The following is a 17569-nucleotide window of genomic DNA, read 5'->3' on the forward strand; positions in this document are numbered from 1 at the left end:
AGGAGTTGGAGATCAGCCCGGCCAACATGGTGAAACACCATCTCTAATGAAAATACAAAAATTAGCCGGGAGTAGTGGCATGCACCTGTAATCCCAGTTACCTGTAATCCCAGATTACATGGTGGCATGCATGTAATCCCAATTACATGCACCTGTAATCCGGAGTCTGAGGCAGGAGAATCACTTGAACCCAGGAGGCAGAGGTTGCAGTGAGCCAAGATTGCGCTACTGCACTCTAGCCTGGGCGACAGAACAAGACTCTCTCTCGAAAGAAAGAGAGAGAGAAAAGAAAAGAAAAGGACTTTTTGGGCTCTCTAAGCACCCTCTTTGTAGAGGTGAGATCATGGCTCACTGCAACCTCAAACTCTTGAGCTCAAGTGAGCCTCCCGCCTCAGCCTCCCAAGCAGCTGGGACACGCACCACCAAACCCCGCTAATTAATCGCCTCCTTAAAGATCCAGTCTCCAAATACAGTCACATTCTGAGGTCCTGGGAGTTAAGACTAAATTTTAGAGGGGACACAAGTCAGCTCTTAACACTATCCCTACTTGAAGGTGCTGAAATTGCTATTTGATTTAGATGAAAATCGAGGCGATTAGGAAATAGAAATAGAGCTTTCAACTCAAATATTAGTGAAGCATTTAAAAGGTCCAAAATGTCTCTGAGTTACTAATACAGGGAAGTTTTTAAGAAATGCTGTTTTTGAGCCTAATGGCTTAAAATCCCTATTTCAAATTTATTAGCACAGAGTGCTCTAATTCACAAATAATTAACATTGCCTCTTTTTATAAAACACCGATAAATTTTATTTTAAAAAGGAACCCTCTAAAAATAGATATAAAAAGGGAAGAAAGCACTACATATAAAAAGGGAAGAAAGCGGCTGAGCTGGAGTAACAACCATCCTGATCTTTCATTAAACAAAGTAACCTTTGACCTTGCTTGTGCTTGTGAAGGCAGGATGCTGGAGGTCAAAGGTTAGTTGGTCTCTAAATGATAATACGTTTATCAGCAAAATAAACTGAGAAATAATATGCACATAAAGGCCAATATGTTCTCACTGTCTCAAATTCCTACAAAAACACAATGAATTTGACAATCCATGCCACCTTTGCACAAAAAAAGGACTTTTTTTCCTTTTTTGTGAGCTGAAGAAGACTGTGCCAATATAAACGTCTGCTTTTCATCCTCTGAGCAGCCCAGGGCAACAGTGTTATCTCTGACCCAGGGACATGTTTTTAGAAGCATTGGAACCCCTTCACACAAAATTAATGAGCAGTGTATTTTCAAATCTTTTCTAAGTGCTCTCCTCTCGGTTGCTCCAACCCTACTTCCACCCCATTTGCTAAATGAAATGGTTGCACAAGATCAGGCTATGCCACGATACTGGGAGGAGCAAGGGCGGGGTGGAGGGATTATCCCATTAGAGGTCTGCAAAGTTAGGTTCTAATTTCAGATTTACCACCCTCTGTATGATTTGGGGCAAATGAATATAACCCTCTGAGCCTCTTTCCCCATAAGCCTGCAAGGTAAGATCAGTGACCCCTTAAGTCTTTGCAATGACCTTTTTATTCTTATTCTTTAAAAGGACAAAATATGAGATCTTAAAAAAAAAAAAATATATATATATATATATATATATATATATATATATATATATATATACGCCTTCTCTGGCTGAGAGAAGGAAAAGGAGAACGAGGAGGATAGCAGCAAGTAATAAACTTTGCTCTATGCAAGCATTGCTGCCACAGAGGTACCTAGAGCACCCTACAAGGGAGCACCTCACAGGGGCTCCCTCAGACTCACATCACAGTTGGAGAGGAGCCTAGGCTAGTAGAAACAGAGCTGGGACTACAACTCAGGTCTTCTGACTCCAAGCACAGAGTTGTCACTATCTCGCTGCATGACCTTTGGGAAGTCACACTAACATCTCTGACTCAGTTTCCTCATCTGCAAAAGGAAGGAGTGAGATTAAATGGTCTCTGTCTTCTCTGGGATTGCATTAGTAAGACAGCTGGGTATTGTTAATTGATAAGGGAGCATTTCAAAGAGGATCCATCTGTTTTTAATTAAATTCCATTTGCAGCATCTTTGTAAATGCTCTGGGTCTCGAGATCACATATTAGGAGATACTGAAAACATACATATTGAAGCCATATGGCAGTGTATAAAGGACAGACTCAATTGCATAGAATTAAACGAGTGACTGGTAAGGACCAGGGAGCCTATGGTCTGAAAGACCTGAGAAGGGAGTTAAAGCTTATTGGGCACCAGAAAAGGAAGAGAATCTTTTCAATGGAAATTGGATGCTAGTGGGAACATCATTGTAATAGGAAACTGGCATTCCGAGGACTCTGACAAAGTAGGGAAAATACGAAAACAGAAGCCAGAGGTGGAACAGGAGAAATGGCTGAGAACGTCACCCGTGGGGTTGTGGATTGGAAGGAAGAGGCACAGAACCTGAAGCAGATGACCAGTCTCACCCACAACCCTACATACAATCATGTTTTTGTTTTTAATCATTGAATTTATTTTTTAGAGCAGTTTTAAGTTCACAGCAAAATCAAGCAGGAGGTACAGAGATGCTGTATATCCCGTGTCCCCACACACATGCAACCTCCTCCAATGGGGACATCCCACACCAGAATGGTACATTTGTTGATACTGATGAGCCTGTGTTGCCGCATTATCACTCAAAGCCCATGCTTTGCATTTGGGCTCACTCTTGGTGATGTACACTTCATGGGTTTGGACAAAGGTATAATGATATGCATCCACCATCCCAGTATCATGCTGAATAGTTTCACTACCCTAAAAATTATCTGGGCACCACATGTTTATCCTTCCCTCTCCCTCATCACTGGAAACCATTGATCTTTTTTCTGTCTCCATAGTTTTGCCTTTTCCAGATTGTCATATAGTTGGAGTCATAAAACAGCCTTTTCAGATTAGCTTCTTTCACTTAGTAATAAGCATTTAAGTTTCCTCTGTGTGTCTTTTCATGCCTTGATAACTCATTTCTTTTCAGCACTGAATAATATTTTATTGTCTGGATGTACTACAGTTTATTTATTGATTCACCTACTGAAGGACCTCTTGATTACCACTACTTTTGGCAATTATTAATAAAGCTGCTGTAAACATCTGTGTGCAGGTTTTTTTGTTTTTTTTTTTTTTTTTGGAGGGCATACATTTTCAGTTCATTTGAGTAAATACCAAGAAGTGTGATTGCCAAATTGTATGCCAAGAGTATGTTTAGGTTAGTAAGAAATGGCCAAATTGTCTTCCCAAGTGGCTGCGCCATTTTGCATTTCACCAGCAATGAATGAGAGTCCTTGTTATTCAACATCACTGCCAGCATTTGGTGTTGTCAGTATGCTAGATTTTGATCATTCTAATAGGTGCAGTGATATTTCACTGCTGCTTTAATTTGCAGCTCCCAACTGACACGATGTTACACATCTTTTCATATGCTTATTTGCCATTTGTGTATCTGCTTTAGCGAGGTGTCTATTCAAGTCTTTTCCCATTTTTAATTGGGTTGCTCATTTTCTTATTGTTGAGTTTTAAGAGTTCTTTGTATATTTTGGATAACCTTCTTTTTTAGGTGTGTCTTTTGCAAATATTTTCCCCCAGTTTGTGGCTTGCCTTCTCATTCTCTTGGCCATGTTTCAAAAATAGTCAACATCTGGTTAAAATGAATAAGGTCAACCTTGAAAGAAAAAATAAATCACAAAGCGTGCCCCCTGAAGGGAACATAATGGAAGGGTGGCCAGTTGGGAGAGAAAAGGAGGGTGGTGCTTAGCACAGTTCTATCTTGCTACACGTCCTAGTATACATACCCAAGATCTGGTAAAGTACTAAAACAGATTTCTCACACAACACTGGAACACTCATTTGAGAAAGTATGTAAAAGTCTCGGGGATGACTGGGATGATCAGCATCATTTGCCATAGCTTGCCTCTCCTTCTTCCCATTCTTTTAATAGTTCATCTGAAACATCTTGTACAAGAGAGAGAGTTCTTATTATTTCTAAGCTGAAATGTCACTTCTTCCAGGAAGGCTTCCCAGCCTTCAAGTACTGATTTTGTGCCCTGTTTTTGTGTACTCTGGACCATACTAATGAAAGACTTCTTGCTACATTCTGATGGCCTGGCCTGGGTACTTGTTGCAGCCCTCCCTAGAGCCACCTGTCTTGTCTCCAGCTATATCTCAAAGTCTAACACAGTATCTGAAATATTATCAGCTCTCAACAAATACTTGCTACATGAATAAATGAAGAAAGTACTGAAAGATGTGGCAGAGACTCATTGTATTAGTTTGCTATGACTGCTGAAACAACGCACCACAAATTAGGAGGCTGAAACTATAGAAATGTATTGTCTCATGGTTCTGGAGGCTACCAGTCCGAGATCAAGGCATCAGCAGGGCCGCGCTCCCTCTGAAGGTGGGAGGGAAGGGTCTGTTCCAGGCCTCTCTCCTGGCCACTGGTAGCGCCTCGGCTCGTAGCAGCAGAACTCCAGGTTTCACATGCCTTTCTTCTATGTATGCACCTCTGTGTCCAAATTTCTCGTTTTTATAAGCACATCAGTCCCACTGGTTTAGGGCCCACCCTAATGACCTCATTTTACCTTGATTACCTCTGTAAACACCCTATCTCCAAAAAAAGTCATGTTCTGAGGTCCTGGAAGATAGGACTCTCACATACCATTTTGGGGAGTCCCAATTTAACACATAACACTCATCTAGGAACTTTGAAACTTATCCTGTAGGCAAATAGGCCCCTTTTTTTTTTTTCTGAGACAGAGTCTCACTCTGTCGCCCAGGCTTGAGTGCCGTGGCGTGTTCTCAGGTCACTGCAACCTCTGCCTCTTGGGTTCAAGTGATTCTCCTGCCTCAGCCTCCCAAGTAGCTGGGATGACAGGCGCCCGCCACCACACCTGGCTAATTTTTGTATTTTTAGTAGAGATGCTCCCTTCAGAGGGAGTGTGGCCCTGCTGATGCCTTGATCTTGAACTGGTAGCCTCCAGAACCATGAGACAATACATTCATACATTCATGATGGCCAGGCTGGTCTCAAACTCCTGACCCCAAGTAATCAGCCCACCTTGGCCTCCCAAACTGCTGGGATTATAGGCGTGAGCCATGCCTAGCCAGATAGGCCCTTTAAACAAGAATGTGACACAATCAAATTTGCCTTTTGGAGAGAACAGTCTAGCAGAAATGTGAAAGGTAGAACAGAAGCACGCCATGCAGGCCTGAGGAAGGAAGCCAAAGTGGGTCAGGGTGGGAGGTGGCAAGCCTCAAATGTGAACATGGCAGCGGGAATGGAGAGAGAGCAGAGTTTCAGAGATAGTACAGAGATATATAGACAAGGCTCCAATGACTAACTGATGATGACTAATTAGACTGGGTGCCAGGTACTAATTTAGGAAATACAGAAAGGAGGGCAGACAAAGGAAAAAGAGAATTAGCTGAAGTTTGGGACTGCAGACTTTGAGGTCTTTCACCCCAGTATCTGTCTCCCTGAATCTCTACCCTATATGAAATCCAAGATAATTTACAGTGCCCTCATTCAGCATCATCTATTGACAAAGAGATAAATACATGTGGATTGCTACATAGCAAAGAGATCCTAGTAATTTTTTTTAAGAGACAGAGTCTCACTCTGTTGCCCAGGCTGGAGTGCCGTAGTGGTTCAATCCTAGCTCACTGCAGTCTGTAACTCCTGGGCTCAAGTTATTTCTTAACTCAGCCTCCCAAGTAGCTGGGCTACACGCTCGCACCACCACACCTGGCTAATATTTTAATTTTTTGTAGAGAAGAGGGTCTTGCTATGTTGCCTAGGCTGGTCTCCAATTCCTGGTCTCAAGGATCCTCCCACCTTGGCCTCTCAAAGTGGGCTACCAAGGTAGATGTGAGCTACCAAGTCCAGCCCTAGTAAATTTTTTAATTTTCAACTTTTCATTTTGAAATAATTACATCAAAAGTTGTTTTAAAAAGTCTTATATATCTTTCACTTTTCTTCCTCAAATGTTACCCTTTTACAGAACCAGAGTATATGGCTGGAACAGTGGCTCACACCTATAATCCCAGCACTATGGGAGGCCAAGGTGGGCAGATCACCTGAGGTCAGGAGTTCGAGACCAGCCTGGCCAACATGGCAAAACCCCATCTCCACTAAAAATACAAAAAATTAGCCAAGGATGGTGGCGCATGCCTGTAATCCCAGCTACTCAGGAGGCTGAGGTAGGAGAATTGCTTGAACCCAGGAGGCAGAGGTTGCAGTGAGCCAAGATTGTACCACTGCACTCCAGCCTGGGCGACAAAAGCAAAACTCCATCTCAAAAAAAAAAAAAGAGAACCAGAGTATAATTATCAATCATGCTATTAATTAGTTTTTTGACTATCAATTGTACTATTAATTATATGATTAATAATTGTATTATTAACTGATCATATGAGTGATATATAATGTTAACTAATCCATAGGCAACCCAGTACTTTAGATTGTTTTCAAGGCAATAATTATTTGAAGAAATTCATAATAGTGATGATATGTAGTATGCACTCAGTAAATACTGGTAAAATAATGAATAAATGAAAAGAAATACTAGAAGGAGAAGCAAACTAACATCTGAGAGTTACACCACCAGAAGCTGAGTTAAGAACTTTACCTGGGTTATCTCATCTTATCTTATCTCGACTGTGAGACCTCTGATTTCATACAAGGAAATTAAACGTATAGCAATTTTGTCCATTAAAACATGCTAGATGGATTGAAAAGATTAAAAGAAAGAAACATCTCAAGGGATAAGTACAGCTTAGAGACCGACTACCAGGAAGGACTTATCTCATTCCCAGAAGCGTGGAATGAAGGACTGTTTTCCACATGGACACTTCTCACCTGGCAGGATATATGACCTACCACAGAACACCTGGGTTCTCACAACTGCAAACCCAGCCACCCGTCCACATTCCCATTAAATCCTGAAGCCATTGGTTTTGACTGTCTGCTCACTTCTGAGAGGACCCTTTTCTGTTGTAGCAGAAACATGCCAGGAAAAGTGCTGAATGGGACAAGTTTGTGGTCAGTCCTCCCACTTCCTGTCTTGCTTCCCAAGTTCTCCCTCACCTACCAATTAGAGATCATCATACAAAAGCCCACCGGGCTTCAGATGAGCCCCTTCTTCCTCTGCCTGGTCCAGGCTCAGGTGGCCTTTCGTTCTCCATAGCCCTGCCTGGTGACTGGCTACTGAGGGTCAGTGGAGAGATGTACCTTCTCTGCAGATTAGACACAACATGGGGCTAACTTCTTGCCCTGGATTATCATTAGCCAAGTTTGTGAGTGTGTGATGACGTCCTAGATAAGTACCCACTCCCGCCTACTCAGACCCTTTCCCAGGCACCCTGTGCCTTTAGACAGCCTGTGAGGACCAGCCCTCCAGACTTCTGGGAAAAAAGTCAGTCAAGGATAACACATTCCTGAATATAAACATGCCTCGGGTAAGAAGTGTACATTTTATCAAGTGTGGCTTCCTGGTTAAGATGTTTGAGATCAAAGAAGCAAATGTAATAGTGCAGATGTATTTTAGGAGTAGGAGAATCTTGGGCCATTCCTTCAGTTACATAGTGATTTTTTTAACCTCTATTATTACTCAGTGACCCTGCCTGTTACTTACTTTCATATCAATGACATAAATGATGGAGTAAAAACTCGGCTGGTTAAATTAGGCAAGGAACAAATTAGACTGATTTTCAAGGGTAATATGGACTTTAATGAGAATATTATATAAGTCTTACATTTGTGAAAATAAGTAATTCAAAATCTAAGCTATTGGAACTGAATTATTTTGAGCCTTCAAAGGATGTAACTATGAGGCCTGAGTAACAAGATAGGCAGCTGTAACCTAGGCAGCTGTAACCTTTGATTCTCTGAGTATAGATTGGCCTTCTTCCTCACCTACGTTGTTTTGTAAAATGTTATAAATGACTAAAGGGCACCAGGGAAGATCCTTTATTTCTTCACACTGATGTTCATTATAAATTACCACTTACCAACACAAAAAACCCTTCAAAAAATCAATGAATCCAGGAGCTGGTTTTTTGAAAGGATCAGCAAAATTGATAGACTGCTAGCAAGACTAATAAAGAAGAAAAGACAGAAGAATCAAATAGATGCAATAAAAAATCATAAAGGGGATATCACCACCAATCCCACAGAAATACAAACTACCATCAGAGAATATTATAAACACCTCTACTCAAATAAACTAGAAAATCTAGAAGAAATGGATAACTTCCTGGACACATACACCCTCCCAAGACTAAACCAGGAAGAAGCTGAATCCCTGAATAGACCAATAACAGGCTCTGAAATTGAGGCAATAATTAATAGCCTACCAACCAAAAAAAGTCCAGGACCAGATGGATTCACAGCCAAATTCTACCAGAGGTACAAAGAGGAGATGGTACCATTCCTTCTGAAACTATTCCAATAAATAGAAAAAGAGGGAATCCTCCCTAACTCATTTTATGAGGCCAGCATCATCCTGATACCAAAGCCTGGCAGAGACACAACAAAAAAAGAGAATTTTAGACCAATATCCCTGATGAACATCGATGCAAAAATCCTTAATAAAATACTGGCAAACCAAATCCAGCAGCACATCAAAAAGCTTATCCACCACGATCAAGTTGGCTTCAGCCCTGGGATGCAAGGCTGGTTCAACATACGCAAATCAATAAACGTAATCCAGCATACAAACAGAACCAAAGACAAAAACCACATGATTATCTCAACAGATGCAGAAAAGGCCTTCAACAAAATTCAACAGCCCTTCATGCTAAAAACTCTCAATAAACTAGGTACTGATGGGACGTATCTCAAAATACTAAGAGCTATTTATGACAAGCCCACAGCCAATATCATACTGAATGGGCAAAAACTGGAAGCATTCCCTTTGAAAACTGGCACAAGACAGGGATGCGCTCTCTCACCACTCCTATTCAACGTAGTGTTGGAAGTTCTGACCAGGGAAATCAGGCAGGAGAAAGAAATAAAGGATATTCAATTAGGAAAAGAGGAAGTCAAATTGTCCCTGTTTGCAGATGACATGATTGTATATCTAGAAAACCCCATTGTCTCAGCCCAAAATCTCCTTAAGCTGATAAGCAACTTCAGCAAAGTCTCAGGATACAAAATCAATGTGCAAAAATCACAAGCATTCCTATACACCAATAACAGACAAACAGAGAGCCAAATCATGAGTGAACTCCCATTCACAATTGCTTCAAAGAGAATTAAGTACCTAGGAATCCAACTTACAAGAGATGTGAAGGACCTCTTCAAGGAGAACTACAAACCACTGCTCAACAAAATAAAAGAGGACACAAATGGAAGAACAGGCCATGCTCATGGATAGGAAGAATCAATATTGTGAAAATGACCATACTGCTGAAGGTAATTTATGGATTCAATGCCATCCCCATCAAGCTACCAATGACTTTCTTCACAGAATTGGAAAAAACTACTTTAAAGTTCATATGGAATCAAAAAAAAGAGCCCACATTGCCAAGACAATCCTAAGCAAAAATAACAAAGCTGGAGGCATCACACTACCTGACTTCAAACTATACTACAAGGCTACAAAACAGCCTTGTAGTATAGTTTGGTTACAAGGTAACCAAAACAGCATGGTACTGGTACCAAAACAGAGATATAGACCAATGGAACAGAACAGAGCCCTCAGAAATAATACCACACATCTACAACCATCTGATCTTTGACAAAACTGACAAAAACAAGAAATGGGGAAAGGATTCCCTATTTAATAAATGGTGCTGGGAAAATTGGCTAGCAATATGTAGAAAGCTGAAACTGGATCCCTTCCTTACACCTTATACAAAAATTAATTCAAGATGGATTAAAGACTTAAATGTTAGACCTAAAACCATAAAAACCCTAGAAGAAAACCTAGACAATACCATTCGGGACATAGGCATGGGCAAGGACTTCATGACTAACACACCAAAAGCAATGGCAACAAAAGCCAAAATCGACAAATGGTATCTAAGTAAACTAAAGAGCTTCTGCACAGCAAAAGAAACTACCATCAGAGTGAACAGGCAACCTACAGAATGGGAGAAAATTTTTGCAATCTACCCATCTGACAAAGGGCTAATATCCAGAATCTACAAAGAACTTAAACAAATTTACAAGAAAAAATCAAACAGCCCCATCCAAAAGTGGGCAAAGGATACGAACAGACACTTCTCAAAAGAAGACATTTATGCAGCCAACAGACACATGAAAAAATGCTCATCATCACTGGCCATCAGAGAAATGCAAATCAAAACCACAATGAGATACCATCTCACATCATTTAGAATGGCAATCATTAAAAAGTCAGGAAACAACAGGTGCTGGAAAGGATGTGGAGAAACAGGAACACTTTTACACTGTTGGTGGGACTGTAAACTAGTTCAATCATCGTGGAAGACATTGTGGCGATTCCTCAAGGATCTAGAACTAGAAATACCATTTGACCCAGCCATCCCATTACTGGGTATATACCCAAAGGATTATAAATCATGCTGCTATAAAGACACATGCATACGTATGTTTATTGTGGCACTATTCACAATAGCAAAGACTTGGAACCAACCCAAATGTCCAGCAATGATAGATTGGATTAAGCAAATGTGGCATATATACACCATGGAATACTATGCAGCCCTAAAAAAGAATGAGTTCAGGTCCTTTGTAGGGACATAGATGAAGCTGGAAACCATCATTCTCAGCAAACTATCACAAGGACATAAAACCAAACACCGCATGTTCTCACTCATAGGTGGGAATTGTACAATGAGAACACTTAGACACAGGGTGGGGAACATCACACACTGGGGCCTGTTATGGAGTGGGGGGAGTGGGGAGGGATAGCATTAGGAGATATACCTAATGTAAACGACGAGTTAATGGGTGCAGCACACCAACATGGCACATGTATACATATGTAACAAACCTGCACATTGTGCACATGTACCCTAGAACTTAAAGTATAATAATAAAAAAGTCAAAAAATAAGTAAATAAATAAATTACCTCTTACCTCTCTCACACAAAGACTTTATCATATTGTCTTAAGATGGAATGTTAAATATATTCTTTTAAACTGGAGAGGAAATGAAAACAAGCCATATAGAAAACAAACTAATCAAATTGTTATAATTTGATTATAAACCAGCCTTGTATAGAAAATGTTATGATCCTCCCAAATTTATTTGTTTTCTGTCGGTATAAGCAAGACCTTAACTTTTAACTTCAGAGCACTCGCTCCATTTCTCTGGAGTCTGGTTTTCCCGGATGGCTATTCCCAACTTTTCACTTGAATACGCTCTTTAAAACTGGATTCTGATCCTTTCCATTATTTCAGGTTGACATATCAAAGAATGAAAAACATATTACAAACGATATGGATACCACTTGGTTCAGCACCACTCAGCCATAAAAGGTGTGATGGGTACAGAGGTTGAGTTGAACACGGAGTGCTTTCTGCAAAGCAGGATTCAATAACATTTGTGAATGGATAGTGTGGAAAGCAGAGAGGCTTCTAAAACATACTAAGCAGGGTTCTGAGTCTCCAGCCACAAATGTGCCTTTCTCAAAACAACATCCTCTACACTCCCATCTTCTCTTTTGTCTTTTTTGGGATCCTTTACTCCAGTCATTCCTCATCTTGATTCTTTTCTAGCCTCAAGTTGTCCAACTCATTCCCTCTATAAATGTATCTCCAGTAACAAATGTCAAAAGGACAGGAATTTTGCTCTCTCAAAAGGAAAGATTAAAGTATGCATCCCTTTTTCAACAATGCTATCCCACAGTGGGTGGAGGGGATTTTACAGACAGCCTCATTTCCCATTTTTCCAATGCCCTAGAATGCATATTACTATAAAGCAACCGTAGAAATTAATCCTTTGTGTTAGTGAGTATTTGTCCTTTATGGGAAAATTAGACATAACATGCAGTGCACATGGAAGAGCCCACAGGGGGAATTGTGAAGTTTTCATCCCTAGAGGTCATAAAGATAGTTGAAATAGTGCCAGATTCTAAGAAGGACACCTGGGCCAGATGTTTACCAGGCCCCTCCAACTCAAGGGAGGTACAATTCTAAGGAGGGAGGTCTTTTTTTTCTTTTCTTTTCTTTTTTTTTTTTTTTTTTTTTTGAGACCGAGTTCCACTCTTGTTGCCCAGGCTGGAGTGTAGTGGCGCGATCTCAGCTCACTGCAACTTCCACCTTCTGGTTTCAAGTGATTCTCCTGCCTCAGCCTCCCGAGTAGCTGGGATTACAGGGGCATGCCACTACCTCGGGCTAATTTTTGTATTTTTAGTAGAGACGAGGTTTCACCATGTTGGCCAGGCTGGTCTCCGACTCCTGACTTCGTGATCTGCTTGCCTCGGCCCCCCAAAGTGCTGGGATTACAGGCGTGAGCCACCGCACCCAGCCTGTTTTTCTTTTTACTTTTGTCAAAACTGCCGTCAAATCAGGTTCCACAGAAGATATGGACAGTTAATCATCTATCCCAGATAATGATGGTGTGTTCCCACTAGATGCCCTCATATTTCTTCCATCCACAACTAGCTATATGATTTTTGAGGCCCAGTGCAAAATTAAAGTGCAGACTCCCATGTTCAGAAAGTATTACGAATTTCAAGATGATGACAGCAGGACATTAAGCCAAGAAGAGAGCTCTTCTCAGTGCAGATCCCTATGCAACTATACAAGTCACACACCCGTGACACCACCCTTGCTTCCAGCTCTGCAATTCTACACTGTGCTGGTGAAAAGAGTCTGAAATCTCCAAACCCTCTTATCCACCAGCCACTTCAGATATGAGAGGTCTTCAATAGGATCCTAAACAATAAAGGCAAAGGACCCTTATTAATGACATCATTCAATCTGCTCTTCTCCCTCACAATGAAATAAACAAAAATGTAAGCAAGAGCAGCTCTTTCATGGAGAGAGCATTCAGTACAACTGTCTGGCATCTGTTCAGCCTGTTTCCTGAAACTGGGACACACGTTGTTTTAGATGGTGAAATTTAAATGGAAGGAACAGATGCTGTCAATTCAGGTATGCCAATAATGTTCTCTCAAAATGCAATAAAGACATACAAGCTTATAAAACGGAAGCTGACTTGAAATTACCAGCAAATGCATGAAAACAAAGAGACAATGATCCTTGGAGTTCTGCCCATTGTACCAGTGCATGGTAGACACTAGAACTGAAAACGAGGAAAATGGATTTGATCTGCCCCCACCCCAGTCATGCCTCAAAGCTTTAGAAGAAAACAACTACTACAAAAAAAACGATGTTAGACGAAACGGGGATGGCTTCGGTGAGCAACGTGAGCATGGCCAAGGAGGACAGTTTAAAATTTCTTTAGTATAAGGACGTCTTTCAATCCAATTGAGATCTTTATGAAGGACCTGGGAGGAAGTGGTTGGACACAAATAGAACAAAGCCCAGGAGAGATCGTAGCTGAAGAGAAGACGCCATCTGCAGCGTGGGAAGCTGTTTGTAAGCAGGGCCGAAAATGATCCAGGATGGGTCAAAAGTTGAACATGAGTTGGTGATACAGAATGGGACCCCGCATTGAAAAGCTAGCTTTGTTCCAATAGAGAAAAAAAAACAGAGTTGAAAATGGAGGGACAAAAGGATTTCACTGATAATATTCAGCACAGGTTAACGCTCTTATCAGAGTATCTAGTTTGAAACACCAGAAGGTTCTGAGAGTCATACAAAAAGACAGAAACTTTGGAATAGAGATCCTACCATCGAAGATAAAGGAAGCTGGTTCATTCACCTTGGAGAAGAAACGATAGAGGGGTGTGTAAAAGGATATAAGATTTTTATCACCATCTCTCTTCTCTATTAAAGATCTCTCATCCCTACTCCCACCTGACCCTCACCCAAGCAGACTTCAGATCCTACTTATTTCAGGTATGAATACTTATCATTCCCTGGACAGAGAGGCTGGAATGCCCAATTATCTCTCCTTCTGTTAAAACCCCTCCCCTTCCCCAAAGTTTTTTAACCTGTTATAATCTCCCTCCTCCCACCCTCCTGGCCACCCATAAGAATGTGAATTTCCACAGGACATAAATAATCCACACTTTTTTTATCCTTTCATCACCAGCCCTTATGAGTGTCGACAAATATTTGTTGAATGAATTCATTTTCAAAGCATTTCATGAGAATCTATTATGGACAGAGGAATAAAATAGATAATATGTAGGCTTCAAAGAAGCTAAACATAGACAAGGGACTCAAAATTCAAAAAGGAAGAATGAATTGTCAATACTGTAGACTAATAGCTTGACTTCAGCTCCTTAAAATATCAGAGGATTGTTGAAAACATAGAAAGGAATAAAATAATAGTGTAGGGCTAGTGAGCTCATAGATTATAGATCATATCTGTATTATATAGTATTATCATTGTTTGGCCAGGGTTACTAGATTAATAGATATAGTAGAGATTATATGAGGTAATGCATATAAACCGCTCAACCTAGTTCCTTAACACTAATAGCCCAATGAATAGTAGCTGCTGCTATCATGATGTTAATGTTAGCAAATCATTTGACTATGTCACTAATGATGTAATAATTTAAAAAAAAAACAGAGTACCATACAGTATTTGTTATGTGCCAAACACATTCTAAGTGTTTTACATACAATATCACATTGACACCCTCTACAAGGTAGATGTACTAGATTTAATAGTGTCCCCCAAAATCCATGTCAGTCGGGAACCCCAGATCCTTATTTGCAAATAGGGTCTTTACAGATGTAATCAGGTTAAGATGGTCAGACAGGATTAGGTGGGCCCTAAAGCCAATGAATAGTGCTCTTTATAAGGAGAGAAATATTTCAAGACACAGAGAAGATACAGGGAAGAAGGCCATGGGAAGATGGAGGCAGAAATTGCAGTTATGCTGTCATAAGCCAAGGAATTCCAAGGATTGCTGGTAACTGCCAGAAGCTATTTGGTTGGTACAAAAGTAATTGCTGTTTTACTTTTAATGGCAAAACTAGAATCTAGACACATGAGTGTGTTTAGGGATGAGGGAAGACGATAACAATACAGCTCATCGTCCTTTGATTCCTCTTTCACCTGGGATCGATCCTCTTCCCAAACATGAAGAGGGTTTTCCTTGGGTTATATTTGCCCTCAAATTTCCTCATTCAAAAATAATCTGTTTGCTGGGTGCAGTGGCTCACGCCTGTAATCCCAGCACTTTGGGAGGCCGAGGCGGGTGGATCACGAGGTCAGGAGTTCAAGACCAGCCTAGACAACACGGTGAAACCCCGTCTCTACGCAAAAAAATACAAAAATTAGCTGGGTGTGGTGGCACGCACCTGTAATTCCAGCTACTCGGGAGGCTGAGGCAGGAGAATGGCTTGAACCCAGGAGGCGGAGGTTGTGGTGAGCCGAGATCGTGCCACTGAACTCCAGCCTGGGCGACAGAGTGAGATCCATCTCAAAAAATAATAATAATAGTCTGTTTTACCACCTAGTCTCAGTGGCCAAGGGCTGCAGGAAAATACTCCAAATATACAATGTATGAAAATTGTTTTCTTCGTTCACTCCATTAGACTGAAATTTTGAGGGTAGAGACTGTTTTACCTGTTTAAGGGTGTTCTCAACCCCTAGTAACAAATATGTAGAAAACCAGCTCCTAGGAGATCTTACTGAGTTAGTAAGGAAGCATCAACTTCGGAGACAAACACTAGTAGACATTTAATTCAAAACAGGATCAGATCATGAAACGGAATAGAAAGTCCAAAACAGGCAGACAGAGGGACAGACAGACAGACACACACACACACACACACACCACTGATTTTCTTTTTCTTTTTTTTTTTTTTTTTTTTTTTGAGACAGAGTCTCGCTCTTTAGCCCAGGCCGGAGTGCAGTGGCACTATCTCCGCTCACTGCAAGCTCCGCCTCCCGAGTTCACCCCATTCTCCTGCCTCAGCCTCTCGAGTAGCTGGGACTTATAGGCGCCCGCCACGGCGCCCGGCTCATTTTTTGTATTTTTAGTAGACACGGGGTTTCACCGTGTTAGCCAGAATGATCTCGATCTCCTGACCTCGTGATCCGCCCGCCTCGGCCTCTCAAAGTGCTGGGATTACAGGCGTGAGCCACCGCGCCCGGCCCCCACTGATTTTCAACAGAGATACAAAGGCAATTCAGTGAAGAAATGAGAGTCTTTTCAACAAATGGTACGTAAACAACTGAATAACAACTGCATAATCATACGGGGGGAGGGAAGAGTTTCACTCTATACCTATGGGAGGCAGAAATGCCCTCCCCAAGAGGTCCACACCCTAATCCCCTCAAACCCCTAACGTGTTAAGAGAGTAAAAAGACAAATCACAGACTGTGAAAAATGCATGCAAATCACATATCTGATAAAGGATTTTTCTCCAGAATGTATAAAGAACTCAAAACTCAAAAACAGCCCGGCCAAGTTCTCACGCAAGTATAAAGGCCTCAGGAAAACATCTTTAAACATACAAAAATCCAAGAATTAAAGTGCCTTAAAAATTTAAAACTGACCTTAAGCCCAGCCAATAAAGATGTAAATCAAAACAAAATAAAACAAAAAACCCCTCAACAACAGGAAAATAAAATACAAACAAAAAAATGGGCAAAAGTTTTAAATAGACACTTCACCAGAGAAGATACATGGATGGCAAATAAGTACAGGAAAATATGTTCAAAATAATTAGTCATGGAAAAATGAAAATTATAGCTGCAGAAGATATTACTACCCAAGTCTTGGCAAAGATGTGGAGCAACTGGAACTCTGGTGGGAATGCAAAATGGTGTCACCACTTTGGAAAACAGTTTGTCAGTCTGCCAAAAAGTTAAACGTGTTTTTACCGTACAATCTAGCCATTCTACTCCTAGGTATGTACCCAAGAGAAATGAAAGCATTAAGGTCTACACACCTATGCAAAGACTTGCAAATGAATGTCCATAGCAGCTTTATTTGTAACATCCCAAAACTGGAAGCAATCCAAATGTCCATCAACAGATGAATGGATAAACAAACTGTGGGATGGCCATACAATGGAATAGCTATCCAGCATCAAAAATAAATGAATTATTGATAACACAACAACAGATGGACTTCAAAATAGTCTATGTGAAAGAAGCCAGGCAAAAAAAGGGGGTACACACTATATGATTCAATTTATATAAAATTCAAGGAAATGAAACTAATGTTGAGTGACAGAAGGTGGATCAGTGCCTGGGAAATGGGGTCTGGGAGAGGCAGGAGGGAGAGATTACACAGGAGCTGGAGGAACCTTTTCAGGGCAATGGAGCTTTACTATCTTGATTGTGACAGTGGTTTATGGGTGTATTCATATGTCCAAAGTTATCAAATCCACTGCTTTAAATGTGTGGTTTATTGTATGCCATTTATATCTCGAAAAAGCTGTTTTTAAAATACAGTAAGAGAATTTTTCATATTTAAAAGGCAGGATATTTA

Source organism: Homo sapiens, chromosome 8 (assembly GCF_000001405.40).
Source record: "Homo sapiens chromosome 8, GRCh38.p14 Primary Assembly".
Lineage (NCBI taxonomy): Eukaryota > Metazoa > Chordata > Mammalia > Primates > Hominidae > Homo > Homo sapiens.